This window comes from Homo sapiens, chromosome 2 (genome assembly GCF_000001405.40).
Source record: "Homo sapiens chromosome 2, GRCh38.p14 Primary Assembly".
NCBI classification, from domain to species: Eukaryota; Metazoa; Chordata; class Mammalia; order Primates; family Hominidae; genus Homo; species Homo sapiens.
Window position 1 is genome coordinate 37337836 of NC_000002.12, and position 18056 is coordinate 37355891.

The following is an 18056-nucleotide window of genomic DNA, read 5'->3' on the forward strand; positions in this document are numbered from 1 at the left end:
AAGGTGGTTGACTTGCAGATTGGTGAGAAGAATTTACTGACAACAGTATAGGTTTGAAAAGGAAAGTTTTACTAGATAGAAAGAAAGCTGCAAAAGAATGCAGCAGGGCACCTCAGCAAGGGAGGAATTGTGGTGGATTTTCCCTTAGGCGTGTTTATGAACCTTAAAGCGGGAGTTTAATGGTAATTTGGACCCTATTAGCCACATAGGTCATGATAAATGGTTAAATTTGTAGGCATTTTGGTGCCTTGATGTCAGCAAGTGTTGCACAATGAGTTTCAACATACATACATTCTGCAGATGTATGGAAATTCTAGTTACTTATAAATTTTTGAGAAAGAAGCCTGGAACCAGATGCCCGCTTTAGATAACAGGGAAGTCTAATTACTTCTAAATTCCTCAGACGAGGAGTTTTTTCCTCTGGATGGCTGGCTTGACGGTCACCAGGTGACCTCCACTCTCTTCATCTTTGATTCTACTTCTCATCTCCTTGAGTGCACTGAAATTTCTTACTAGAGATTCATTTCTTTGGACCTTGAACACTTTTGGTTTTCAGAGCTCTCAGAGAAAAACTGATCAAAAGTATGATAAATTATTAAATGGATAAAAGGAATTTTGTTTGAGGGGCATAATTAGTGTTTGTGAAAGGAATCAGGGTTTATGGGGACTGTTCCTCTGTCCTTCTTCGAGAGGACAGCGCATGTTATTTAATAGGACTGGGAAGTGAGAAGGCCAGAAAACCAAAGAAGAGGAACGTTTTTTTTCTCCTAGCTTTTATTGCCACCTTCACCCGACCTCTGATCTGGTGAAAGAAGTTGGGAATATTTACAGGAAATCTGGATTCCTGAGATTTCTAAGGAACACTAAAAATCTGACACTGGACTGCAGAGGCAAATATTTTAATTTTTCACTCTGCTATCGAAAGAGGTGGCGGACAGATTCAAACAAGAATATAATGTAGGACTCTTTACATTCTGTGACTATTAAAGGAACAAAAGGCAGGGTGCTTCAGTACTAGACTTGCATGGGGCCAGAAAGTTGGGGGGTTTGAATTTAAGCTGCCTACTTCATAATTTGTCTAAGGCTGGGCCACTTTCCCAATCTTTTTTGCTATTATCCTCAGGGCCTTATGAAATAACTACAATGCAACATGACTATTAATGTTATAGTTAATCTGATTATATGATTTTTGCTGATGTATTTCTCAAAGTGTGTGACTTCATGCAATGATTCTCAGCCGTGGCTGCACGTTAGAATCACCTGGGGAGCTTTTAAGCGATCTGACGCCCAGACCACACACCAGGCTAATCATATCAGAATCTCTGGGGGTGGAAGTCAGACATCACCATTTTCTAAAAAAGGCTTTCTAGATAATTTCCATGTGTAGCTACAGTTGTAAGCATTGGTTTAATGTATTATCATCTGTCTCTCTCAAGTAGAATGGTTTTAACATAGTGATTCTCTAATGTTTTGGTCTCAGAACTCCTTGCATTAGTAACAGTAATTGAGGACCACAAATAGCTTTCATTTATGTGGACCATGTCTATCAATATTTATTGTATTGAAAATTAGAACAGGCATTTTACAAATACTTAATTATGGATTTATTTTAAAAGAATAAAGTCATTGCATCTAAAGACACATGTTTTATGAAAAAATACATTTTCCAAAGTAAAAAGAGTTTAGTGAGAAGATTGGCATTTAAAAAAATCTCTTTAATTTCTGACTTTTTAGATGACAACTGGATTCCCATATTTGCTTATGCATTCCACCTGTTGTGATATATTATTTTGGCTGAAGTACATGAAGAAAATTTGACCCCACACGGACATGTAGTAGGAAAAAGGAAGAGTATTTTAATAGCCTCTTCAGATAACTGTGGATAATCTCCTTCATTATTAAATCAAAACATAACAAATGATAGTGTCATAAAAGGTACAACTTAAAATCTGCTTCTAAATACATGTTTTTATTCCATTACATTAAAATCCACTGGGTGTCTCTTATACTTTGAGTGGAACTTTTCTTTGTGACTTTGTAACATGATGAATTGAACATTTGGAAAATATTGCTTCACTGAGTTATGCAGATATTCCAAATGTTGAGCATTTCATTATATATAATAAATAATCACATTTGTTAAAATCACCAATTTTGTCATAAAAGTTGTTGCATATCAGGAAACTATCAAGCTTATGGTAGCAGATACAAGTTATCCAAAATTCCAATTTTTACTGCAAAGATCCAGTTTTATCACTGGCAACAAACAGTGTCAGTTATTTTCCTTCAAGGGATAGGCGCACTTTATTCATCTTCAAATGTCTGCCAAATATCCAAGTCTGAATAATCATAATTTATCAGTCATTGTTCTTTCAATTAAATTGGAATTTCATGAAAAAAGTAGCAAGTTCACTATGCTTCTCTCTCTCTCTCTTTTTCTTTTTTTGAGACTGTCTCTCTCTGTCACACAGGCTGGAGTGCAGTGGTGTGATCTCTGCTCACTGCAAACTCTGTTTCCCAGGTTCAAGTGATTCTCCTTCCTCAGTCTCTGGAGTAGCTGTGACTACAGGCACCTGCCACCATTCCCAGCTAATTTTTGTATTTTTAGTAGAGATGGGGGTTTTATCCTGTTGGCCAGGCTGGTCTTGAACTCCTAACCTCAAGTGATCCACCTGCTTTGTCCTCCCAAAATGTTGGGATTACAGATGTGAGCCACTGCGGCCCACTATACTTCTGAAACAACGGTACAAATGCTTTTCTTTGAGACAATTGCCCTTTGGTGTGCAGCAGAAGTGTTTGATTTCTACGTCTTATTTTCCCATGTGAGTATAAAGAGCTGCATACTCTCAATTTGTGCTTCCAGTTAAGATGGAACTGGATTTGTCATCCCACCTAAAATATATTAAAAATGACATTCACAATGGATTGGATAAAGAAAACGTCACACACACACACACACACACACACACACACACGCACACACACACACACACCCTGGAATACTACCAGCAATTAAAAATAACAAAATTTTGTCTTTTGTAACAACATGGATGGAACTGGAGGCCATTATCTTTAGTGAAACAGCTCAACTAGCACATGTTCTCACTTATAAGTGGAAGCTAAATAATGTGTACACAATGACATGAAGAGCTGAATAATAGACATTGGAGACTTGGAAGGGTGGGAGGGTAGGAGGGATGAGAAATTACCTGATGGGTAAATGTATACTATGTTTTCAGGTGATGCTTACACTAAAAGCCCAGACTTGTCCACTATGCAGTATATCCATGTACCAAAACTGCTCCTGTACTCTCTAAGTGTATAAAAATTTTTAAAATGATGCTTAAATATTGGAAAAGAGGTATCACAGGAAAGTGGTGAGAAAAGGGAAAATGAAATGAGATGAGCCTGATGTTTTCTCCAGCTTACTGCTTTGAGAGTTTCCAGGATGCAGTGCAGGTAGGAGGAGTCCACACAGAGCTGGTGGTCTCCATGAGATGAAAACGCAGACGTGAGGAGCTCTCTCTCCTCCTGTACTCTGTCCTGCTAGATTTAAAATCTAGCTTCATGGAGAGACAGCTTCAGAAGGCAGTAAAACAACAATTTTATTACTTCATCAATGACATTCTTAAGTGAAACTGGCTCTTTTTCTTTTCTTTTATCGTCCTCTTCTTTTTTTTTTTCTTTATGCGTGGCAGTGAAAAATACTAAGATGGCTGGGTATGGTGGCTTACGTCTGCAATCCCAGCACTTTGGGAGGCCGAGGCAGGTAGATCACCTGAGGTCAGGAGTTCGAGACCAGTCTGACCAACATGGTGAAACCCTGTCTCTACTAAAAATACAAAAATTAGCAGGGTATGGTGGTGCATGCCTGTAATCCCATCTCCTCAGGAGGCTGAGATAGGAGAATCGCTTGAACCTGGGAGGCAGAGGTTGTAGTGAGCCGAGATGGCACCATGGCACTCTAGCCTGGGAAATAAGAGTGAAACTCCTTCCAAAAAGAAAGAAAGAAAGAAAAACACAATGACTACAAGTATAGATTTTCCTCCTCAATAGTACAGTTTTGTGTCCTGTATTGACAGTTGCTAAGGTGCCAGCATTTTTACCCATCATTGCTTTTGCAACATCAGTGCAAAGTCTATACAGTAGAAAAAATGAATCTTGTTTTGGTATTATTATAAAAGTTGATTTGACTTTGGAGACAGCCAAGAGGGTCTTGGGGAATCCCCAGTATCCATGGACCACACTTTTGAAAACTATTGTTTTAATAGAACCTTCTGGTCATTACTACTTTGATCTAATGGCGCCACTTTAAAGGTGGGACTGGGTGTAGGAACATCCTGCCATGGCAGCTTCATGGAGAAGATCTGTTTTGGCAATTGGGTCCTTCATTTCCTTCACATCACAGTATGGAATCTATACTATAATGGAGGTAAAAATTTCTCCACTTGAGAACAGTGTTATCACTGTATATACAACACATTTTTTCCATGATGAAAAACAGGGTCTGAAACTTTAATTAAAATGGAAAAGTCATTAGTTATCTTCCATGGGAAGAGTTTGAAGAAAGGAAAAGTTGAAGTAGGGCAAAAATAGCAGATATAAGGTATTTCTAAACGTTTCCCAAATGAAGGAAGAGAGAAAAGAATGAGCGAAGGAAAGGAAAAGGGTATTTAGTGTGTAAGACACTAGAAAAGATATGCATAAGGAATGAAGTGATACATACATAGTGGTGTTGGATTTGTAGATTCTTGGAAAGTTGGCAGAAAAGCTTACATGTAAAAAAAAAACCAATGTATTGAAATCAGTCTCACTAGCTATGTGGAATGTTTTAGATTTGTACCAGATACAATACGTTTGTGGTGGATACAGGAGATGCGCTGCCCAGATCTGCCCCCAGGGAAGGACCCTGCTCCAGCTGTTGGAGGCCGGCTGGCCCACAGCCTCTAGCAGTCAAGCTCTTTTGGCTGGAAAGCCGCTTGCAGGAAATCACTCCATGGAGGTGCAGAGATAAGGCCCCAGACATTTTGGCCCAGTATGGGACAACTTTGACCGTCTTTTTCAGCTTCAGGACTCCCATGGAGTTGGGTGAGGTTGTTGGGCCCGCTTTGCTGCTAACTTCTCCCTCTGTTCTCTCCTGTTCCCCTTCTTCCTCCCACAGGGGTTTGTCCCAAGGGCACTCCCTAATACACATCCTGCATGTTAAACTCTTGTCTCAGAGTCTGCTTCCTGTAGATACCAAACTGTAAGAACATCTTATTGACTTAAATATAACCAAAATTGGAGAAACTTAGGAAACAAAATCATCATTACGTTATGTGCTGACATTTTAGCTTATTTCTATATTTCTTGTTTTGAATTGCTCATACTTAGCATGATAGTACCTCTCACATTTTGTTTCATTTAGGTTTGCTATTTCCACGTTCTCTTTCTTATAGGAACCATATTGTGAAAAGACATAAAGGTAATAGGGTAAAAAAAAGCAAATAGGCTCTTTATTACCCAGCCACTCAGGAAATGCACTATTTCAAGGTTGACCCAGGCAGCAAGAGAGGAGCTGTATTGGGGAATGTGACAGTGGTTTAGTTCTGAAACTGGAGCCAGTAGAAAGTTCTGAAGGGGGTCCGATGATCAGAACTGTCTGTGGGTTTAATAAAGGTGTATTTAATTTTATTTAAGCCTGGAGATTTAAATTGTCACTCAAAACTCTCAGACATGAATAGGGTTAGCAAATCTGTACACCAGGAAAGGAGTTATTTACATCCTGTCTTCTCCTACAGCTCCAGAGGAGGGCAGAACAGTGTATTTCCAGGCAAGCCCTCTCTTTAAAAACTCATAGCCAAGGCTGGGAAGACAGAGTGAGTGGGTGGGCCTTCTGGCAGCTTCCTTACCTTCAAATCTTTGCTCTCTGTGAAATGGTTCTGCTTCAGTATCCTTGTTCTGATTTTTCTGGGAACTAGATGTTACTGGGAGATGACTCAGAGCAGGCCAAGCCCTGATCCTCACTGTGGAAGCAAAAGAGGCTGGTGAAAGTCACTGTCCTGACAACTTGGACCAGAAACCTACAGACAAAACTGAAATGTTTTCCTGCCCTAGGATTATCTGGATAACAATGACCTTTGATGTTACAAAGTAAATAGAATTGTGTTTGGCTTTTCCTTTTGGGGCCATGCCTTGGAGAAGATGACTCCTTCAGAGCCGCTGTGAATATTGTAGATCTCATTATTTCAGATAATTACTTTGACCATCCTTTTCAATTTGAGAGTATGATGTGAGGCAAGGCAACTATTTGTGAGAAAAAAGAGAAAAGGCAAAGATCCACTGTCATACTTTTGCTTGTGGGTTCCAGTCCAGGCTTTCTATGGGGGGTGGGGGGGTGTCTCAGTCTCCCCGTCTGTAAAATGGGATTAGTGGATTAAATCCGGGAAGGTTGGACAAGCACCTAGGACGGTGCCTGGTGCCGTGTTCAGCAGACGTCGATTCCCTGTCCACCCCTTCTTTAGGAGCTGTGGGAAACACTTCATAACTCCCCAGGGTCTGGTGAACCCTTCCTCCCTTTTCTGTTCCCTGTTTTGGCATTGGAGATCATAAAAAGGCTCTTCCATGTCTCTTGCTTCCTTCCTTTCATCTTCTCCAAGAGAAGGAAGTGGCCGCCTTTGTTAGCTTGGGTTCAGAAGCTTGTGTCTGTCACCCAGGGCCGCCCAGCCCCGGGGTTTGCGAAGGTCCGGGGTAGGAGGGCTGCAGCCTGCGCGACGCGGCGGGAGGCTACCCGGGGGCGATGGGAAGGCGGGCGCAGTCGACCCAAGGGTGGAGAAGAGGGAAGGCGAAGGACGCGCGTTCCCGGGCTCGTGACCGCCAGCGGCCCGGGGAACCCGCTCCCAGACAGACTCGGAGAGATGGCAGGCGGAAGACACCGGCGCGTCGTGGGCACCCTCCACCTGCTGCTGCTGGTGGCCGCCCTGCCCTGGGCATCCAGGGGGGTCAGTCCGAGTGCCTCAGCCTGGCCAGAGGAGAAGGTGAGGGGCTGTTTCTGCGTAGTTGTACTTGAGCGGCTCTGGTCCGATGCGAGGACCCCTGGCCGGGTCAGCCCTACCTAGGCAGAGCGGGAGGCGGGGCAGGGCCACGGTCCCCAGCCCAGGCACCGGCGCCCCACCCGGCGCCCGGAGGAGTCGGGGCTCTGCATACTCGCCGGGGTGCCTCGGCCAGTCCGGGGCTGTTCTGGAGACGCCAGGGGGGCTGGGTGATGTCACTGGCCTCTCCTGGGCTGCGGTCTGATGGGGGTGCTGATAGGCACAGGAAATGTGTCTCGCCGGCGGCTGCTGAGCCGGGAGGCGAGGGCGCATCGCGGCGCCACCCCCCACTCGGGACCCTGGAGGGCAACGGGGCCGGCGCTCCGGGGCCGCTAGGGTGCGGGGTGCGCCTGGGGGTGTGCCCACAGCCCCCCCGCTGCTTCATCCAAGGATGCTGCTGGGGCGCTGAAGTGTCCCTACAGTCTCAGGACGGATGTGTGTTGTTTGTTTTAGATTTTTAAAAGGAGCAACTCGGCAGGAAGGACCTTTACTGGAGACCTGCTTACTTCAAAAGCCTTTTTCCTCCACTTAAAAGAGGGTACCTGCTATTTTCAGAGAAAATGGATCTAGTTGTAGGTAGAAATCGCATATAAGGAACTTAGGATAAAAGTGATTTGCAAGTTCCCTCTGTAAGAAGTGTATGGGTTCGGCCGGGCGGGGTGGCTCACGCCTGTAATCCCAGCACTTTGGGAGGCCGAGGCGGGTGGATCACGAGGTCAGGAGATCGAGACCATCAGGGCTAACATGGTGAAACCCTGTCTCTACTAAAAAATACAAAAAATCAGCCGGGCGTGGTGGCACGCACCTGTAATCCCAGCTACTCGGGAGGCTGAGGCAGGAGAATGGCGTGAACCCGGGGGGCGGAGCTTGCAGTAAGCCGAGATCGCGCCACTGCGCTCCAACCTGGGCGACACAGCGAGACTCCGTCTCAAAAAAAAAAAAAAAAAAAAGAAGTATATGGGTTCACAATTACATGGGTTCACAATTACTTCCTTTTCTTGTGTAACAGTTTTGAAATCATGAAATTGCTAAGGGATTGTGCAAATATTAATGATGTCAGCATAAAATAGTATGTTATAGAGATATTAAGAAAAGCAGCAAAGTGAAGCGATATAAACTTTGGCAGTGTTATTGAGCAGACCTTTTACACACTTAGAGTATGCCTGTATTTACTCAAATGTTTGAAATACAGGGCACGCTGGTAAATGCCCACTCCCACCCAGCTACATGCATATATATATGAATAGCCCATTTCAATTCTTCGGATCTAATGTAATCACCACTCAGGGGTCACAGCAGGCCCCACTTACACATGGAGACCACAGGCCACAGGGAACCTGGTGGTAGTGAGGGAAGTCTGTAACATAAGAATAACTTTATTTTAAGGAAAACAACTTCCCATGGGGGCCCATGAAGAAGAACGTGGAATGACACACAAAAAATCCTCTCCTTCTCTTCACTGAGAATACCCTTCTGGTCAGAAATTGGGAAGAGAACATTACAGACTGGAATATGGAGCCACACCAAATGTATCTTTGTGATACATCTAAATGGAAGGGAATAAATGAGATGGAAACTGAACAAACCACTCTGAAAAGATCATTTGTAGGTGTGTGTAGGCAGGGGGTATTTATGGGTGGGAAAAGGTGCTGTGATTCTTAAAATATTTTAAACCAATGAGAATTTAACTTTTGAGAAACGTCTTTTAAAGCATGAATCCCTTTTATATTTATTTTAAGAAGCTTCTGATCACTGTTCCATTGAGAAACTGAATGTTTTCAAATCATTAAAAGCAAATGACAATCAGCCATCACATTTCCCAGTTTCTAGCTTCCTCCCCTTATTCTGTAGACCTTCATAAAGTCTTGCAGCCTGGGTGATGAATCGGTCCACACTAAAATATGTGCCTTCCTACTTTTTATGGTGTTCGACTATTTTAATCATATGATGTATGTCTTTGGTACACTGGTCTGCTAACAGGTGAGGTGTGGTAAAGAAAGCATTGATTTTGAAATCCATTTCCTTCGTTTTGAAATAAAGATGTTTCTCTTTCAGTGGCTTTGAATATGTAAAAGCAGATCAACTGTAGTTTATGGTGGCATTCAGAGGCCATGATTTGATTATGTATTTGAAACCTGGAAACAATTTTTCCATAGTAACAATATTATAAATTGTTAAACTCCCAGGTGGGCACACACCTGTGTATTTAGAGGCATTGGCATCTGGGTATGGGGTGTTTTATATATATATATATATATAACATATATATATATAACATATATATATAACATATATATATAACATATATATAACATATATATATAACATATATATATATATAACATATATATATATACATCCACCTCACTTGAACTTCACAGCAAGCCCCATGAGGAAGGTACATTCATCCTCAATTTATGGTTGAGGAAACTTGACAACTATTGCACTAGTGAACTGAAGAGCTAGGGTTTGGCTTAAGCCCTGATCTCTCCTTTCTTCTTCTGTGCTTTTCTAATGGTAGATGAGTCCTGGCTGATGTACCCGGAACAGTGCCCAGGTAGTGAAAAAGTGTGGGGCTAGCAGGGAAGTTGGAGGGCCAGATGAAGAGCTTACTCTCTCTTTCTGGGTCAGGGTGGACCCTAAATGGCATTCTAAAACAGGTAGTTTGGTTTTGGTACCTTCTCTTCTGACACCCCCTATTTTCTCCTTTCCTTGATCTCCTTCATGCAGCTTAAAGGTCATCATTAGTCTGGGTGCTAATCCATATTCCAGAGTTACTTCTTCTGAATCTTCCCCAGGCCTTTTGGTCACCAGTCTTATTCCTTTAGTACAGGCCCATTCCTTTAGTACAACATTGTCAACTAGCTATTAAACAGAATCTCATTAAATCATTCTTCCTTAGGTGCGAATGACTGATGGCTTTTGAGGGCTTTATATGCTCTTTAAAAATATTAGTTTCGATAAACTAAAAAGTCTGCCTTCTATTGAAGTCTTCTAATTATAAAGTTGACATGTGCTCATTTTAGAAAACTTGGAAAATACAGAAAAATACACTAAAAAGAAAACTAATGTCACCCATAACCCCACTATTCAGAGATAATGGCTATTAACCATTTTGGTGTTTTTATTTCTATCTCTCTCTCTCTGCGCGCGCACGCGTGTGTGTGTGTGTGTGTGTGTGTGTTATTGTTGTTGTTGCATTCTAATGGAAGCAACGACGGAGACTCTCAGGCAGTGACGTGGAAGTTAGTTGGGGGCTGGGTGTTGGTAGGGACAGAAAGACAAAATGTCATTTTGGAGCCTTACCATCTAGTTGGTAAGTATCATGAGATCCATTTTACAGATATGGACTCTTTCCTAGTCACAGCTAATAAGCGAGGGAGCTGAGATTTCACCCTAAGCTGTTGTGGTTAAAGCCCGCACGGCTCTGCTTTTAAGTAGAGGGCTGCTTGCATTTTAGAAAAGACAGATGTTGTCTTGTTCAGTTCCTAACTATTCCCCCACTGAATTTTTTATATCAGTGGCATCCGACACACAGAAGGAGTTCAGTAACTGCTGATTGAGCTGACTTTGCAGACAGACAGAGGTGTTAATCTGAGAATTGCCCGGGAGACATTCATATAGAATAGAAACTGGACTTGCATTGGCTGCATTTCTGTAATGATCTCCCTTTAATTCAGTCTTTTGGAACCTCAAAACCCTTTGCAAGCTGGGCCAACTCTATCAATTATGTAATTAAAACCCTCTTTAAAACCACATGATTAGCCTAGAAGAGATGCTTCAGGATATCTGGTTCACACTTTTGGCTGAAAGATTCTTGCACTCAGAGCAGACTTATTGTCCTTTCTGTCTGGATGAAAAGACAAGGCAGGGGCTGTAACAGAGCCTCATTCCTCTGAGAACACCTGCACCAATAGAAAATTGTCTAAGTGTCTTTTAACTGAGATAAACCTACAATAAATTGGGGTTTGCATTTACCATTGGGCTCAACTTTGTTTTTGCCTGAGTTACTTTCCCCCTGCTGAGCTCGCTCTTTCTTTCCAGCTTTTTCCTCTTACTCATTCATCTCATCTCCACCTAAATTTGTATATCTATTGAGTTCTGAGAATAAGACCCCTCAAACATTGAATGCATGCTATTTAGGTTGGGAAAGTCAAATGCTTTTCCACACAGGGCTTTAATGAATAGAAGGCTTAAGTAGTTGACTGAGTGTAGTTGGTTGTTTCCTCTTCTCTGTCCTTCAGTTACTGGGAAGCTTTTAGCTCTGGGATTTTACAGGGGCATCTTTGCCCCCAGAGGGGCAAGGAGAGTCAGGGCTCTTTACTGAAGTATGTTAATTAAATGGTTGAGCCCAGGAGGTTGAGGAGCAAACACATGTAAGTCTCTAGATTCATAAGCATCAATAGGCCTGGCCTGTCTGCTGGATTTACCCTTTAGTCATCCATTAAGCATTTTTTGGTGCTATTTGCCAATTAGGTTTCATCTGCAGTATCTCTTGTAGTTAAAGATGCTTGGGGGAGGGGGCATTTATTTTGTTCCTGTTTTTTCTTAAATGTCTTAAGAGCTCTTTCAAGCCTCTAGAAACCAGCCATTTAAACACAAGTGATTTCGTTTCACTCTGGACATGGAGTGAAAGCTTCTATCCACAGTGACCAGATGGGCTTTGGGATAGAGTATTGGACAGTAAGCAGACAAGGAGCCACTGGTAAACAGCTTTTGACACAACAGTTTTGGTTGTCATAGTGACTGCTTGGGTCAACCCAGCTCTTCATCGTCAGAAGCATCGAATGTCAGAAATTCAAAAAGAGCAAAGCCCAATAACATTGAACCACAGCACTTCCTGGCCATTGCAGCAGGTAGCCACCTGTCTCTTCTGTCTTTATGCTTGCTTGTGCATTCAGCTGATTTATTATTTACAGTGGCAGAAAAATGCCCATGTTACTTTATTATTATATAAATACAGTCTTAGCAAAGATAATTTTAGAAAGATAGTTCATCTGTTGATTGCTTTTTTGATTAATTTCCCCAATATTTATCAAATGCTCAAGATGAACCAGGCCCTGTGTGGCCTGTGTGGGAGAGAGAGGTAAACAACAGAGAGAGAGGGAGTTCCAGCCCTTATGGAGCTGATGTCTTGTATGAAAGACAGACATTAAACAAGTAAACACACAAAGAAGTGGCCTCCAAGCTGCAAGCTGAAGTGAGCAGGAGTTAGCCAGGTGAAGAGGAGGGGAAACAGCTTGTAAGGCAGAAAGCACCGCAGATGCCAAAGCCTCATGGGGGCAGAACCTCAGAGCATTTGGGGCCTGGCCAAATGCCAGAGTGACCGAAGCATGGTGAGCAAGGGTGAGGGGGGAGACCAGACAGGCTTCTGTTGGCAGGGTTGAGTAATAATTAACCATGGAAGTCTTCTGACCTCTTGCCTCCATATTCTTCTTATCCCTTCGCACATTTCTATTGCTTTGTCTTTCAGCTTCAGCTTTCTTTTCCAACTGTTGTTTGGGAGCTGGCATGAGGACTTAGATCCTGGAGGTACCAAGGGATTTAAAGCCTGCACTGACAAGTTTATCAAGGAAATATATTTAAAAATGTCCTACCAATAAACAAAGACAAATCTTCTGATGTTCAGGCACAGCACCAATATTCAGGAATAAACTGGAAGTGCATAAATGAGACAGTGAGGCAGAGTAAAACTAGCATGGGATTGGAAATCCCCAGACAGCGGATCTTTTTGTGGATTTACCTGTAACTCTCCTTCAACCTCAGGAAGTCAGCTGGTTTCTATGAATCTCAGTTTCCACTAATATAAATGAAGGAGGTTGGAGACTAGAGCATCTCTAAGTGGCTTTTCCAACTTTAAAATTCATTCTATGGCTCTTTAGTGTTTGATAGAAGGAAATAGTAACTAACACATTGAATATTTACTATGGCAGTTTACATATGTTAGTTCACTTAATTCTATTTACCCTAGGATTCAGGTATTACTACCTCTGTTTTACAGATGAGGAAATTGAGCCTTAATGAGGTTTAGTAACCTGGAAAGATTTACAGCTAGTAGGTGGTGGGGTGCTGAGTTGAGAGGCTGAGTTGAGAGGGTCTGTCTGATCCTATAGCCCATGCTCTTTGCATGGTAAGTACTGGAAAGTAAACAGCCATCTCGGAGTATAGATGAGTGTAAATAATTAGGCAATAAGCATTCTTTGAAGTCCAGTTTCACACCAGTCCCATGGAGTCGATCACATGGAATGAAAATAGTTGCATGACTATTTAAGCGTATCCAGCTAACACTGGTCCTGAAAGGAACTATAAAATAGGCCTCTCCTAATTTCTGTTTTGCCTTCCAAATAATTCAATATTCTTATGTCATCCTCATCCTTCCCCTTAGGGAAGAAGTCATCTGATCAATTGTTCTCTTCCTGTTGAGGAGGAGTAACACATTCCATTATTAGGTGCCTGATAAACATGTAATGAATGAATGGTTCATCATTACCAGTATCATAAGAATATACAGTATGTGTGAAGTCATCCAAAATACAAATTTGAATGTTATGTGAACTTTAATGCAATTTAAAAATAATTTTAATTGAAGTTAAAAAGTCTACTATTTAGTTGGCTATAGATTCACCAAGCTCAGGCTGAAAGGAATTGCAACAATCATCTGAGTTGGCACTGTCTAATAGAAATAATGACTCAGGGCTGGGTGCGGTGGCTCATGCCTGTAATCCCAGCACTTTGGGAGGCCGAGGTGGGTGGATCACCTGAGGTTGGGAGTTTGAGACCAGCCTGACCAATATGATGAAACCCCGTCTCTACTAAAAATACAAAAATTAGCTGGGCATGGTGGCATGCACCTGTAATCCCAGCTACTCGGGAGGCTGAGACAGGAGAATTGCTTGAACCCGGGAGGCAGAGGTTGCAGTGAGCCAAGATCATGCCATTGTACTCCAGCCTGGGCAACAAGAGTGAAACTCCATCTAAAATAATAATAATAAAAAAGAAATAATGACTCAGCTACTCAGGAGACTGAGGTGGGAGGATTGCTTGAGCCCGGGAGGTGGAGGTTGCAGTGAGCCAGATTGCACCACTGCACTCCAGCCTGGGTGACAGAGAGAAACCCCAACTTCAAAAAAAAAAAAAAGATTATGAAAGAAACATATGTAATTTTAATTTTTCTAGTAGCTACATTAAAAAAGTGAAAAAGGGGTAAAATTAATTTTAATAATATACTTCATTTAACCTAATATGTCAAAAAATTACCATTTCAACATGTAATCATTATAAAATTTTGAATTAGGCTTGCTATTAAAATCCTATTAAAATTCGAGGACCCCTTAATTTGTGGCTCATCTATAAAGTCTTCCCTGACTACTCTCCCTCTATACTGTGTAAGATTTACTTAGGCTAACAGTTGGGTTTTTTAATTATTTTTAAAATTTTTACTGAGACAGGGTCTCCTTCTGTTGCCCAGCTGGAGGGCTCAGTAACACAGCTCACTGCAACCTTGACCTCCTGGGCTCAAGCAATCCTCCCACCTCAGCCTCCTAAGTAGCTAGAACAACGGGCATGCACCAATGCGTCACCACGCCCATCTAATTTTTTCATTTTTTGTAGAGATAAGGTCTCATTATGTTGCCAGGGCTGGTCTCAAATTCCTGGGCTCAAGCAGTCCTCTTGCCTCAGCCTCCCAAAGTGCTGGGATTACAGGCTTGAGCCACCGTGCCCAGCCCTAACAGCCCAATTTTAAAGTTGAGTAGTTTAATTTACCTCATTTGACATAAAGTTCTCCCTTATTTTGAAGTTTTAAGCAATTAATTGAAAACATGTCAGAGTCTTAAACATGTTATGAAAGGATAGCTAGTTAAATGATTTCATTCAATCCTCAGAATTACCACCAGCCAGCCATTTTGAATTCATCGGCTCTTCGGCAAATTGCAGAAGGCACCAGTATCTCTGAAATGTGGCAAAATGACTTACAGCCATTGCTGATAGAGCGATACCCGGGATCCCCTGGAAGCTATGCTGCTCGTCAGGTGAGAACATGGGACACAAACCTCAAGCTTGTGTGAATACTGTGCTTTCTCATGAGGGATAATGTTATGGCTGAAGTTCTGAGGTGTCTAATATTCAGATCTGTCATCTCCTCATTCACCAAATAGTCAACCAAGAAAAATCAAATGACTGAGAGTACATGTCTGTTCTGAATTAAGTGGTACATGTTAATGTCAATAGTTTATGTGTGAAATCTCTATTTGGGGTACAACATTACACAGTCCTTCACTCTTGACCATTCAATAGCACACCCCGAGGCTCCCAATTAAGTTTTCTTGAATCCTAAACAATGAACAGCAACAGGCTTAGGGAGTCCTTGCTTGAAGGTTCTAAGTCAAGAGTATCATTGTACTGTCAGGCCATCACTCGCCTTAGGGAAATTGTATTTTCCCTGGAGGGAGAGTTAAGGCTGGTGATAAGCTAGCCGCATTTCTCCAGGGCAGTGCTTCTCAAACTTCTGACTCTGACACAAAGTAAAAAAAAAATGAATTTTACATTTTATACACACAAACGTACTGGCATATTTAACTGAAACAAAACTTCCACGAAAAATATTCTTACAGCATTTTACTGCAATATGGTCAGTTCTATTTTATTGGTTCTTAAAAAATGCTGGTCATAACCCACTAAACTGATTTCAAGACCCATTGATTTTACCACTGTTGTGGAGGGTAGAACAAGCTGGGCCAGACCTTGAATGCCTCTTTGCCTCCCTGATGTCAGTCTTCCTAAGCAATCTGAAACCTCACCTCTGAATATCTGTTTTTTTCAAACTAGCCCCATTTTAAGGGGCCGCTTGGGAAGGAATGGGACTGGCCCTTCACATCCTCTTCTGAAACTCCTCAGGCAAAAGACCTTGGCACCCACTGCTGTGCCTAGATTGAGAACTGCAAGGCGCAGGTGCCCAGCTCTTGAGCTCTTCCTTTCGATTTCAGAGTCTCGCTCTGTCACCCAGGCTGGAGTGCAGTGGCGCGATCTCGGTTCCCTGCAACCTCCACCTCCTGGGTTCACACTATTCTCCTGCCTCAGCCTCCCAAGTAGCTGGGACTACAGGCGCACGCCACCATGCCCGGCTAATTTTTGTATTTTTAGTAGAGACAGGGTTTCACCACGTTGGCCAGGATGGTCTCTTATCTCCTGACCTCGTGATCCGCCCGCCTCGGCCTCCCGAAGTGCTGGGATTACAGGCGTGAGCCACCGCGTCCGGCTGAGCTCTTCCTTTCTGCCCAGTGTACAGCCTCTGCCTCTCAGGCTAGCCTAGATATCCATATGTCTGTGTCCCCATTAGCCTTTTGTCTTCCATCTGAATAGCTCTGGCTTCTCCCAAGGAATTAGACGGTAGACACCCTGCAGGCACCTTAGTTCTGTCTAACCTTTAGGCAGAGTGAAGAATAATAGCAATGATGGCTGACTTTCACTGAGCAGTTTTTCTGGGTCAGGCACTTTACTGAGTTCTTTGCATAGATCATCTCATTCAGCCTTCAGAACAGTGTGTGGATGCTATTATTATCTCAATATTAGGAATTTAAAAAGATCTGAGGTTGAGGTATATGAATTAACTTGCTCAAGGTTATACTTGTACCATTGTTGAGGCCAGAATCCACTTGAGATCTCTATCCTGTCACTGGAGAGCTGGGAGGAATCAGCTCTGCTTCGTGCACTCAAATGTCTCCAGCTCTCGATCTTCTCAAGCCCAAGTTGGAGAGTGAGGCACATACCATTCACTTTAACAACATTCCCTGGGCCTTATCTCTCAAGCATTTTCTTAAAAGAAGGCCAGGGCATTTAATTGGCATTTTCCAAAAGCCTCAGTTCCTTGTTAGAAAAAAATCTAGGTCTGTGATGCTTACTCTTCCCATTCAACTCAACCTTTTTTTTTTCCCATACCATTTGCCCAGAGCGCTGTATATAACCAGAAATGATATGCATACTTCAGGCCTGAGGTTCTTTGCCTGCAGGCTCTGGAAATCCATGAACACAATAAACTTTGCTAGTTGATCTTTAGCTTCAACAGAATACAGTATATAGGATAAATAATATACATAGATATTGTTGTAGTTAAAAAGATACATATTCATTTAAAAGTGTTACTGAAGTTTCAGTAACATTCTCCACTATCATATGGGGGTGGAGGCAAATGAGATATTTATGGACAGTATTTTAGAATGTGTTGGGAACTACTGCTGGGCTGCCTATGCATGGGCTGGCTGATGGCTATGTTAGATATCTCACTTAGATTCCATTTTAGAATTTTTTGAGAAGAAAATTACCATTAATTTTTAGAGACCTATCTTCTAAGCTGTGGAAGACAAAGGAATTCTCATTTTGAAAGTGAGGTACATGACAGAGTAATTATGAGGGAACTACACTAATGGCCTTAATTTGACTAAGATTAGATCCTTTCATGTAGAACTGAATTGAAACAAAAATGATTGAACCTTTTTTTTTTCTCCTGAGGCCTTTTTGAACACTAGATGAGATGTTTTATAATTTAGAGTTTCAAGGTTGTAACTAGAGAAGATCCTCAAATATTAAAAAAGGGTAAACTTGATATAAAATTGGTTTGTGAATTAACTTTTGTAGTTACCAGTAAAGATGTGCATTACTATGGGTTCTCTTTTACAGAAAGAGAATATTTTGGGGGAACCCTGTCCCACATTATGCGTTTTCCTGGTCTCTGATCAATGACCCCAAAGCTGCCTATTGGATTATTAGGATATTTTTATTTTGAGGAGATAAGTTATTTGTAAAACAAATAATTTGAAGATAATACATTTGGGGCTATTTCATTGATTTATAAGATAGAAATAAAAAAATTAAAAAATTAGGATGATAAAGTCTCACAAATGGGCAAGCAATATCCTTTGTCTAAAAGAGGCAAACTAGAAACTTCAGGGGGTAAAATCCCCCACAGGTGCACAGTGCATCTGAGCCACC

General features: G+C 42.0%; 1 protein-coding gene and 1 long non-coding RNA gene across 2 annotated transcripts in view, besides 1 other annotated feature; one reads left to right on the forward strand and one right to left on the reverse strand.

The window, feature by feature from the left end:
- Nucleotides 1-1580: 1580 nt before the first annotated feature.
- Nucleotides 1581-7220, reverse strand: LOC124907754 (uncharacterized). Its single transcript, XR_007086284.1, has 2 exons — nucleotides 5892-7220; nucleotides 1581-2892 (listed from the first exon to the last, which is right to left on the reverse strand). It is a non-coding gene; the product is annotated as an uncharacterized LOC124907754 (long non-coding RNA).
- QPCT (glutaminyl-peptide cyclotransferase) overlaps nucleotides 6795-18056 on the forward strand; it is a 28693-nt gene continuing 17431 nt past the window's right edge. The window contains exons 1-2 of the mRNA NM_012413.4: nucleotides 6795-7016; nucleotides 14954-15100. Coding sequence (NP_036545.1) covers nucleotides 6897-7016; nucleotides 14954-15100 — 267 coding nt within the window. The 5' untranslated portion in view covers nucleotides 6795-6896. The remainder of the gene's footprint in view (nucleotides 7017-14953; nucleotides 15101-18056) is intronic.
- Nucleotides 7166-7225: a silencer, noted in NCBI's record as "silent region_11357". NCBI's record gives its function as "represses an Ori minimal core promoter by ATAC-STARR-seq in GM12878 lymphoblastoid cells {active_cell/tissue: GM12878}" and the evidence as "EXISTENCE:reporter gene assay evidence [ECO:0000049][PMID:35858748]".